The sequence below is a fragment of the Homo sapiens genome, chromosome 11 (assembly GCF_000001405.40).
Source record: "Homo sapiens chromosome 11, GRCh38.p14 Primary Assembly".
Lineage (NCBI taxonomy): Eukaryota > Metazoa > Chordata > Mammalia > Primates > Hominidae > Homo > Homo sapiens.
The window spans coordinates 7,931,269-7,942,754 of NC_000011.10; the positions used below are offsets into that span (position 1 = coordinate 7,931,269).

Below are 11,486 nucleotides of genomic sequence, written 5' to 3' on the forward strand. Positions count from 1 at the left end.
CACAAACACAACTGACTGATTCAGAGCATTGATTCCATAATGTTATATGGCATAGAATTATATGCCCTGGAGAATTCCTCCCTGAAGAACGTGAAATCACTTCATAGAGACCTTCCTGTATTTTTGTGTGATAACTAACGAGGCTTAAACTTGGCCCCTCGGGTGAGAAAGCTCAAGAGCACAAACATGGAGCAGCACTCCTTCTTATGTCTATGGGGAATGAGCACCTCTTCCCACAAGAGACTCAATTCCACCGTGACACCTCCCAGTAGGAGGTGAGAGCAGAGGCTGAATGAACATTGTCAATAGGGAAAGAAGGGAGGGGTGGAGTGAAGGTGTGAGCAAAGGCAGGTGACCTAGGGCTAGAGGATTCACATGGACACAATGCACAGTTTGTGCAATGGAGGGAGACATGGCAGGTAGATTAAAGGTGCTTTGTAGAAAGCCTGGATGCTCCCTCTGACTCAAGAACTTTTTAACATGGAGTCAAAATATCCTGACTGGCTTGTATAACTTTGAGCACATCACTCAACTTTCTGGTTCTATTACTTTCTCTGTAAAATAAAGATAATGATATTAATCTCATAGGATGTATATAGGAATGAGGACTCAGGGTTTAGTTTAAACTGGCTTGAGCAATAAAGGAAGCCATAGGCTCTGTCCCAGGAGACAGAGATGAATGAATCTGCAGGCTTGGCTTTATCCAGAAGGCAGATGATGTGCTCACGCCGAGGCTCCACTTCTCTTCTTCTCATCTATGGTTTTGTGGGGTAGGTTCTATTCTCAAGAAAGCCCTCTTGTCCTTGCAGCAGTAAGGCTGCCAACAACACATAGGGATATTCTCCCTAATCCGTCTCCAGTGGGAAATGTCCCAGTGATGCTGAGGAAAGGGGGTTCTGAAAGAAGCAGTCCAGGGACGCCTCCCATATTAGTCCCCATGGTGGGATTACATGCCCATTCATGAACTAGTCCGGTGCCCCAAAGATGGGAAAAGCTGTCTAATAGGTACTTTTCATAATTCCTACCCCATGACATCCCATGCAGGCTTCTGTTGTACTAATATGCTCTATAACCTGATGTCAGTGACTGTATCACAGGTGATGTACAAATTGTGAGAAGTCATCAAGATGTAGAGTCATGAATTGTACACTTTACATACATTGGATTTCAACAAAGTGTATAAAAAACATTTCAGGCACATATTTAAAAGGGTAAGTGGGGAATAATAGTAATGTTAATCTCCAATTTAAAGCCAATATGTCATGGATATAACAATAATCAAAATGTGGAGATTTTTAACACACTTTCTCAAAGTTTGAGAGAGCAAACAGACAACAAAAAATACAAAATGGAAAGATTTGAATAATAAAATGTTGATTTAACAGGTGGTAATGAGAATAAATAAGATATAGAACACTTTCATCTCATTAACTCTATATTTTTATCCCAAAATATCTATATAATATTTACAAAAATTGAATATGTGTTTTGTCAAAAAGAAAATCTCAATAAATTCCAAAATCCTGGCAATCATATATATACAGCATTCCGTGTAATAAAACTGCAAAAAAAGCCCAAAATAGAAAAGAAAAACTAGTCTTAGAAACAAACTAACAACATACCTTAAAAAACTAGATGTAAAAACTCTTATGCTCATTTTATAAAAATTATATTTATTTATATAAGTGTTTTATGTACATAGGAAGAATCACAAAAAAATAGACATGAAATAATTTACATTGGCTACTTTTAGGAATGATGGAATTGGGGGATGAGAATAGAGGTATTTTTGAGAGACACTTTTGTATTTTTATTTTATAAATCTACTGCTTGAATTTAAAAGAAATAATTTTGTAATAAATAAAAGCAAGGTTTTTAAAAATAGAAAGTGAAGTTCAGCCATGAGGTCTTTGCCCATGCCTGTGTCTTGAATGGTATTGACTAGGTTTTCTTCTAGAGTTTTTATGGTTTTAGATATTACGTTTAAGTCTTTAATCCATCTTGAGTTAATTTTTGTATAAGGTGTAAGGAAGGGGTCCAGTTTCAGTTTTCTGCATATGGCTAGCCAGTTTTCCCAACACCATTTATTAAATAGGGAATCCTTTCCTCATTGCTTGTTTTTGTCAGATTTGTCAAAGGTCAGATGATTATAGATGTGTAGCATTATTTCTGAGGCCTCTGTTCTGTTCCATTGATCTATATATCTGTTTTGGTACCAGTACCATGCTGTTTTGGTTACTGTAGGCTTAGAGTATAGTTTGAAGTCAGGTAGCATGATGCTTCCAGCTTTGATCTTTTTGCTTAGGATTGTCTTGGCTATGCAAGCTCTTTTTTGGTTCCATGTGAAATTTAAAGTAGTTTTTTCTAATTCTGTGAAGAAAGTCAGTGGTAGCTTGATGGGGATAGCATGGAATCTATAAATTACTTTGGGCAGCATGGCCATTTTCATGATATTGATTCTTCCTATCCATGAGCATGTAAATGTTTTTCCATTTGTTTGTGTCCTCTCTTATTTCCTTGAGCAGTGGTTTGTAGTTCTCCTTGAAGAGGTCCTTCACATCCCTTGTAAGTTGGATTCCTAGGTATTTTATTCTCTTTGAAGCAATTGTGAATGGGAGTTCACTCATGATTTGGCTCTCTGTTTGACTATTATTGGTGTATAGGAATGCTTGTAATTTTTGTGTATTGATTTTGTATCCTGAGACTTTGCTGAAGTTGCTTATCAGCTTAAGGAAATTTGGGGCTGAGACGATGGGGTTTTCTAAATATATAATCATGTCATCTGCAGAGACAATTTGACTTCCTGTCTTCCTATTTGAATATCCTTCTCTTGCTTGATTTCCCTGGCCAGAACTTCCAATACTATGTTGAATAGGAGTGGTGAGAGAGGGCATCCTTGTCTTCTGCCAGTTTTCAAAGGAAATGCTTCCAGCTTTTGCCCATTCAGTATGATATTGGCTGTGGGTTTGTCATAAATAGCTCTTATTATTTTTAGATACATTCCATTAATACCTAGTTTATTGAGAGTTTTTAGCATGAAGTGGTGTTGAATTTTATTGAAGGACTTTTCTGCATCTATTGAGATAATCATGTGGTTTTTGTCATTGGTTCTGTTTATGTGATGGATTGCGCTTATTGATTTGCATGTGATAAACCAACTTTGCATCCCAGGGATGAAGCTGACTTGATTGTGTTGGATAAGCTTTTTGATGTGCTGCTGGATTCAGTTTGCCAGTATTTTATTGAGGATTTTTGCATCGATGTTCATCAGGGATATTGGCCTGAAATTGTCTTTTTTTGTTGTGTCTCTGCCAGGTTTTGGTATCAGGATGACACCAAAAGCAATGGCAACAAAAGCCAAAATTGACAAATGGAATCTAATTAAACTAAAGAGCTTCTGCACAGCAAAAGAAACTATCATCAGAGTGAACAGGCAACCTACAGAATGGGAGAAAATTCCTGCAATCTATCCATCTGACAACGGGCTAATATCCAGAATCTACAAGGAACTTAAACAAATTTACAAGAAAAAAGCAAACAACCCCATCAAAAAATAGGTGAAGAATATGAACAGACACTTCTCAAAAGAAGACATACATGCAGCCAACAAACATATGAAAAAAAGCTTATCATCACTGGTCATTAGAGAAATGCAAATCAAAACCACAATGAGATACCATCTCATGCCAGTTAGAATGCAGATCATTAAAAAGTCAGGAAACAACAGGTGCTGGAGAAATAGGAACGCTTTTACACTGTTGGTGGGAGTGTAAATTAGTTCTACCATTGTGGAAGACAGTGTGGCGAGGATCTAGAATCAAAAATGCCTTTTGACCCAGCAATCCCATTACTGTGTATATACCCAAAGGATTATAAATTATTCTACTATAAAGACATATGCACACATATGTTTATTGCAGCACTATTCACAATAGCAAAGTCTTGAAACCCAAATGCCCATCAATGATAGACTGGATTAAGCAAATGTGGCACATATACACCACGGAATACTATGCAGCCATGGAAAAGGATGAGTTCATGTCCTTTGTAGGGACATGGATGAAGCTGGAAACCATCATTCTCAGCAAACTATCTCAGGGACAAAAATACAAACACCACATGTTCTCACTTATAGGTGGGAATTGAACAATGAGAACACTTGGACACAGGAAGGGGAACATCACACACTGGGGCCTGTTGAGGGGTGGTAGGTGGGGGGAGGGATAGCATTAGGAGATATACCTAATGTAAATGACGAGTTAATGGGTGCAGCACACCAACATGGCACATGTATACATATGTAACAAACCTGCACATTGTGCACATGTACCCTAGAACTTAAAGTATAATAATTAAAAAAAAGAAATTTGATCCCCAATGTTGAAGGTGGGGCCTAGTGGGAGATGTTTGGGTCATGGTGGTGGATCTCTTATTAATAGACTGATTTCCTGGGGTGATGAGGGGAGTGAGTGAGTTCTTAGTTTGTTAGTTCTGCTAGAGATGGTTGCAAAAAATAGCTTGACACCTTCCCTCTTTCTCTTTTTTTCACTTCCTCTCCCACTGTGTGATCTCTATACTCTGCCTCTCCTTCCCCTTCAGCCATAAGTGGAAGCAGCTTGAGGTCCTCATCAGATGTAGATGCTGGCACCATGCTTCTTGTACAGACTGAAGAGCCATGAACTAAATAAATCTCCCTTCTTTGTAAATTACCCAGTCTCGGGTATTTCTTTGCAGCAATGCTAACAGACTAAAACATTACTACAATTGCATTGATCTTCAGATAGATAACAAAAGATGAGTCAATTGACAAACCATTGAAAATTAAATGTGAGAACCAGAGTGTCAGTCACTCACAAAGAGGTCCTCATCTCTTGCAACAAGCAGGCAGAAAAAATGGAGATCATTTTCAGGGTTCAGTAGTCACAGTGGCTGAACTTCAATGATACCTGCATGCTTAATCAAGGTAGCTATGTTAAGCCAAATCTGGAGCCAGAGTTGGAAAAAATCTAAGGCTTTGACACATGGGATAAGAATTCTAGGTGGATGCCTCCAAAGATCTGGACTTCAAAGATATCACTAAACTTTCTAACACTGCAGAAGTGACCAACCCCTCCCTATTCAGGGCAGGAAGACTATCGAAGAGGCGCACGATCAGAAACTGCCTTCCCCTCTTTTCCTCAACACCAGGCCTATAAATATGGTTAAGTCACAGCACAGCTCAGCCAGGGAAATAAGGAAAGAATGGAACAATACCACAAAAGAACTGCAAGATCTAACAGACCTTCACCAACAAGGGGAGAACCATGGTACTTGTCCTGAGGGTGCTGGACCAGGAGGCTGGTAGGCAAGGCTGGATAAGTGAAAGTTTATTGACCTGATCTGGAAAGAAAAGAAAGGGAGTTTGGCAGCAGGGAGGTCTAGGGTAGAGGCATATTGATAGGCATATGGAGTGGGCATAAAGTGTGAAGGTCTTTGTATCTTGTGTTAACACCTGGTCAGTAGGTAAAATGACTCACCCAGTTGACAAATTAGCCTACTTCTTCTGTCAGCAACCACCCCAGTGCTGGCATGATGCCCACAAGAACAAAGTGGCCTGGCAGCAGAGATAAAGGCTATGCAAAAGCCCAAGCAACGTGGAACTCATTTACCAAGACCAACCAGATTTACTAGTTATAATGTGTAACTCCTCAAAAAAATTACAAATCAGTGCATAGACCATATACAAATATACCCATACACATTTAGAATTAATGTGATATGATTTCATATTGTAATTCCTTAAACACAAATTCAGTCAACTCTATATGAATTGAAATAATACCAGTAAACAATTCAGATATTTATGTCAAATTTCATATGTAATAGAGACCACGTAAACAATCAGTAGGGATTTGTTTAACAATTATAAACCTAAAACCAGTTTAAATAGACACACAGATATATATATGTATTGCCTATTCCCAAATAATATACACAAATTATAATGACACCCCTTCATTTAGCAGAATATGTATATCTAATCTTAACATCACAGTATCAGTTTTATTCCAATTATTTTTAAGAACAATTGAGGGAGGTAACCTGGGAAGATAGGTGACCGGATATCTTGTAGCTATCTATTTAGGAACAAAAGGAAAGGCAATTTTTTTGCCTGAGCCAGTTTCCAAGCTTAACTTTTCTTTTGGCATAGTGAGTTTGGGGTTCCAAGATTTTACTTTCCTGTCACAGACTACAAAAGGAAACTTCATAAAAGTTTCTAAATCAGTGGTCTGTAAATGAAAAAGATACTGATATTATCAAATGAGAATTTGAGAAACTTCCCATGTAGCTCTCTGGTCACCAACATTGGATAAATATTTGGAAAGATACCAAGAGAAATCCAGTTTGGGATTATAATTTGTGTAAGGTCATGAAGTAGAACCATTTTTGGCCCCCCAAAATAGATGCACTTTTTTTTTACTCATCCGTGGAACAAATTTTCAATCCAAAAATAGAAACATCATCACCTTATTTGTTGGTCTCTTGAAGCTCTACCCTGTTACCAAAGCACAGTGAGCCTTCAGGCCAGTCTGAAGAACTATAATCATTTTGAAAAGTAATTCTGCAATAGCTAATAAAATTTGTAAACACAGATACTCCTCATCCTATCAGCCGCACTGTAGCAAATCTATCACACAGGTATAATGACATCAGTACATATGAGCATATGGAACAAGGCATTTATTGAAGCACTGTCTTAATGACAGTAATCCAGGCCAGGCGTGGTGGCTCACACCTGTAATCACAGCGCTTTGGGAGGCCGAGGTGGGCGGATCATCTAAGGTTGGGAGTTTGAGACCAGCCTGACCAGCATGGTGAAACCCCGTCTCTACTAAAAATACAAAAATTAGCTGGGTGTGGTGGCGCATGCCTGTAATCCCAACTACTCGGGAGGCTGAGGCAGGAGAATTGCTAGAACCCAGGAGGTGGAGGTTGCAGTGAGCCCAGATCGTGCCATTGCACTCCAGCCTGGGCTGGAGCGAAACTCCATCTCAAAAAAAAAAAAAAAAAAAATGACAGTAATCCAGTAGCTACTTGGATGTTCATAATAGAGAAATGGATGAATAAACTGTTGTGTCATGTTATGAGAACATATGTATCTACTAAAAACAAGTGACAGCAGTTCTTTATTGAGATACGTTTTCCAATAAAAAAACTCAACAAACTTACATAGTCATACAAAAAATGCAGTCTGTTTTCACCCTTTATTAAATTTAAATAGAGTTCACTCAGGCAGTGGCCAAATCTTACTCAGCTTCTCAACACAATCAGAATGTGTGTAAAATCACTTTTCTTCGCCATAGTTTTATCAAAGTCCTCTTCATCTCACTGTTTCGTAAGCTATAGATGAGCGGATTGAGCAGAGGGGTAAGCAACGTGTAAGCCAATGAGATCAGTTTCTTGGTTTCGGGTGAGTAGCCAGATTTGGGTTGTAAATAAGTCATATTGGCTGTGCCATAGAACAGGGTCACAGATGTGAGGTGAGAGGCACAGGTGGAAAAGGCCTTTTGTCTCCCAGTAGTTGATGGCATCTTCAGGATGGCAAACAGAACTCGAATGTAAGACAAGAGGATCAACAAGAAAGGAACCATAACAATCAAAATGGTGCCTGTGAAGGCATAGATTTCAAATAAGAAGGTGTCTGCACACACAAGCTCTAGTACCGGGGGAGTCTCACAGAAGAGATGATTAATTTCATTGGGGCCACAAAATGGAAAACTAAATACCCAAGTGGTCTGCACAGTAGCCACCATGATCCCTGAGATCCATGAGAATATTACTAATTTCATAAAAACCCCTCTGTTCATAATCACTGGGTAGTTCAGAGGATGGCAAATTGCAGCAAATCGGTCATAAGCCATCGCTCCCAGGAGAAAACATTCAGTCCCACCAAAAAGAAGGATGAAATACATCTGTGCAAAACAGCCCACAAAAGAAATCATAGTTTTCTCAGTAGAGAGCACCACCAGCATTTCAGGCGTAATGACTGCACTGAAACTCACCTCCACCACAGATAGGTTCAGGAGGAACAGGTACATGGGAACGTGGAGGCTCTGGTTTAAGGAGATGATGACTGTAATGATGGCATTTCCCATCAGGGTCACCACATAAATAACTAGGAAAACCCCAAAGAGCTGCACCTGGAGCTCAGGAAAGTTAGAAAAGCCCAGGAGGATGAATTCAACCACACAGCTTTGATTTTGTCTTTTCATTTCAGTAGTTGAAACTTATATTGTTTTTATGGACCTGGTATATCGAGTATGAAGTCGTAATCCCATAGCTGTGAGTTCAAGTCTGGAATTCTTGACAGCAGATGTAATGACAAGCTCATTTTGACAGAACTTCAGGTTGGCACTTTTGAAGAATGGCCAATGACTTGTAATAGTGAATCTTTAAAATACAAATAAAGAAGTGAAGTATTTTGGTTCAGAAATCTTGTTTTTAAAGTACAAAATAACAGTAAATGTTATCTGGCAACATCTTTGTTTTGTAGGTTGCTCTCTCTCTCCTCTCTTAATGCCAAGTTCCCCTTTAAAAGCCTCTGCTTTCTTTCCAAAAAGTGAAGCAGTGTCCTTAAAGGCAGGAGCCTATACCTCTTCCCTTAGTTGGATTCTTCAAGCAAAGAGCAACTGAACCTGAGTTTTGGTTACGCCTGGATTGCGAGCTAGTCTGGAACTTGGCTGCAGTCCTAACTCTGCCACTGTCTCCAAGATGGGTCTCTGCCTCTGCTGCACTTGGGTTCCCCATCTGTATGGGTTAGAAGCAGCAGAATGATCCCTTCTGGCTCTGACATAGGTGTTTCTCTAATTTGTTGATAGAAAACTGCAGGCTGCAAGGCCTCAACTCCAATCAGATGGGAGCTGGGCTGAAGGGAACATGGAGTAGTGGTGGGTGGGCACATAGGCAGCACACATGCTGCCTGAGTCACTTTGGGCCTGCCAGTCCCATGCGGAGATGACCATTTTCTTCCCAATCCAACTGCCCCTCCAGAGCCACTCTCAGGGCAAAGCGACTTCATTCTCTCTGCTCTCAACCAGAGCAACAATCCTTGTCTCCCAGTATTCCCTTCACTGTCAGGGCCCACAAGTCTTTAAAATCTGGAGTCCTCCTGGCCTCACGAGTCCATCCCCGCTGACACGCTCCACCTCACTGCCTCTTTTCCTCTCCCTTCACCTCCTCTACCTTTAAACGGAAACCTAACTGGCTATTCCATGTTTTATACCCGTTCCTCCAATCTGTACCTCAAATTTCTGACAAAATAATATCACCCTCCCTCCGAGAAACTTCAGAGTCTCCCCTTATCAGTAAAATACAATGCCCACTTCTCAGGCTGGCATTTAAGGGGAACTAGAGTGATAACAATTGCTTTAGGAATGTAAATGAGGGAAACATTACTTCTGAATGGACAGTGAGGGTGGGAAACCATAATCACAAGATGACAAGGGTGGAAGGTCCATTAAGCAGAGGAGAAAAAGCATAAGGAGGAAGGCTGCCTTGCTCAGATAGAAGGTATTCAATGACACCTTAGTACTAGCATGGACCTCCAAACTGGACTTTGTGTGATGCTTCAAAAACCAGCAGAATTTTACTGTGGGACAAGAGGAAGCCAGGAGGAGAGGACACAGCAAGCTGAAGACATCTTGATTTCATATCATTAGGACATTAGCAGAGAGGAAAAGGCAATTGATTTATTGAGTCTGACCATAGTGATATTAAAAACCAAATATATGTTTTAACTATAACAAAATTTTTTGGATGTAAAAAATCTCCTAAAATAGACTTGGCAGGAAAAAAAAATGCCTAAGTATCATTTTAATAGACAAAACTACATTTTCAGCTCCAGGCCTATAAAACCAAATACGTTTGTAAAATGAGAAAATTTAGAGTATCCTACTAAAAATGGGCAACTTTTAAGGAGCTGATAAAGCAAAGTTACAAAACAAATCTAAATTACTGCCTTCATGAGTAATTTTTTTAAGCTGAACTTAAATGCTCCATCTTTTCCCTTTAACATAAAACAACATAATGCTGATTTAGCTAATTCACTGATATGTTCTACTGGCTCTGGCATTAACTTTCTGTATAATCTTGGGCAAATAACTCCCTCATCAGGGTTTCATCTTTCTAACCAATTGGACTTATTTCTGACCGCTTTCACCCCGCTCCCTCAACTACATACCTCTAAGAATTGATGGTTTGTGCAAGCAAACCGTCTATAGATCTAATTACTGTCGAACTTTTATGTGAATATGAAGGGCACAGCAATTGACTTTCTTACCTGAGCATTGAGTTATCACTTGATAAGTATCTCCAATTATCAGTGAGGATAACTACAGAAGGCAAACCCACCAACAAGTACCAAAGCAGAATCTTCAGATCCTTATCTATTCACTGTCCCTGATTTTCATCCCATTTATGTTTTACCTCTTCAATTAAAAAGCACTTCCTAAATACAACTTAGTGATTCAATGCATTGATTTTAAATTATACTGCATTAAATTTTATGCCCTGAGAGAAATCTTCTCTGGAGAACTGACACACAATTTATACAGACTTTCCTGTATGGGGGCAAGGAATCTCCGCTGCACAAACTTGGAATACGACTCTTCCAGGTTTCCATAGGGAATTAACACCTCTTCACATGAGAGACCCAATTCCACCAAGACCTTTCCCATTAAGAAATGAAAGCAGAGACTGAATGAATGTTAATAAATAGGCACAAATGCAGAAGGGAGAAAAGAATGTGAGCGTGAGTAAAGGCAGAGTGATTTGGACAGAGGATCTGATTGGACAAGATAGACAGTTTGTGCAATGGTAGGAAATGTGTTATGGCAAGTAAATTGAAGTTACTTTGTGGAAAGCCTGGAGATACCAAAACTTATATTTTCTAGTAGTAATATGGAAATACTAAATTTTGGGGGAAAGTCTTTTAGATAATTTTATAGTCGAAACTTTTTAACTTGAAGTCAAAACATCTGAACTAATATGACTTTGAGCATCATGTCTCTTCTCTGGCTCTATTACTTTTTTGATAAAATCAAGATAATGTTATTAACTTCACAAAGTATATGTAACAATCAGAGGACTCAGAGTTAAGTTCACACTGATTTGAGCAATCAATAAGACTATTAGCTCAGTTCCAGCAAAGTATAGGGATGAATAAATCTGTAGGCTTGGCTTTATCCAGAACTCAGATAATGTTTCCAGGACCTGGATTTCTTTTTTTCTCTATTTCTCATCTCTGCTTTCCTAGAGTAGGTTCTATTCTCAATGAATATTTTCCCTTTAGTGTCAATAAGGCTGCTAACAACACTTAGGGATAGATCCTCTCTGTATCCAGTGGGCAATGTACCAGTTATCCTGAGGATAAAGGGTTTTTATTTGTAAAAACTAATCCAAGAACCCCTCCTGTATCATTTACTATGGTGGGATTACATGACTATCCA

The 11,486-nt window shown here is 39.1% G+C and overlaps 1 protein-coding gene across 1 annotated transcript; it reads right to left on the reverse strand.

The window, feature by feature from the left end:
• Window positions 1-5,902: 5,902 nt before the first annotated feature.
• Window positions 5,903-10,440, reverse strand: OR10A3 (olfactory receptor family 10 subfamily A member 3). The gene is made up of 2 exons (NM_001003745.2): window positions 10,319-10,440; window positions 5,903-8,430 (listed from the first exon to the last, which is right to left on the reverse strand). The coding sequence occupies exon 2, from the start codon at window positions 8,250-8,252 to the stop codon at window positions 7,308-7,310; it is 945 nt and encodes a 314-aa protein (NP_001003745.1). The 5' UTR covers window positions 8,253-8,430; window positions 10,319-10,440; the 3' UTR covers window positions 5,903-7,307.
• Window positions 10,441-11,486: the final 1,046 nt, after the last annotated feature.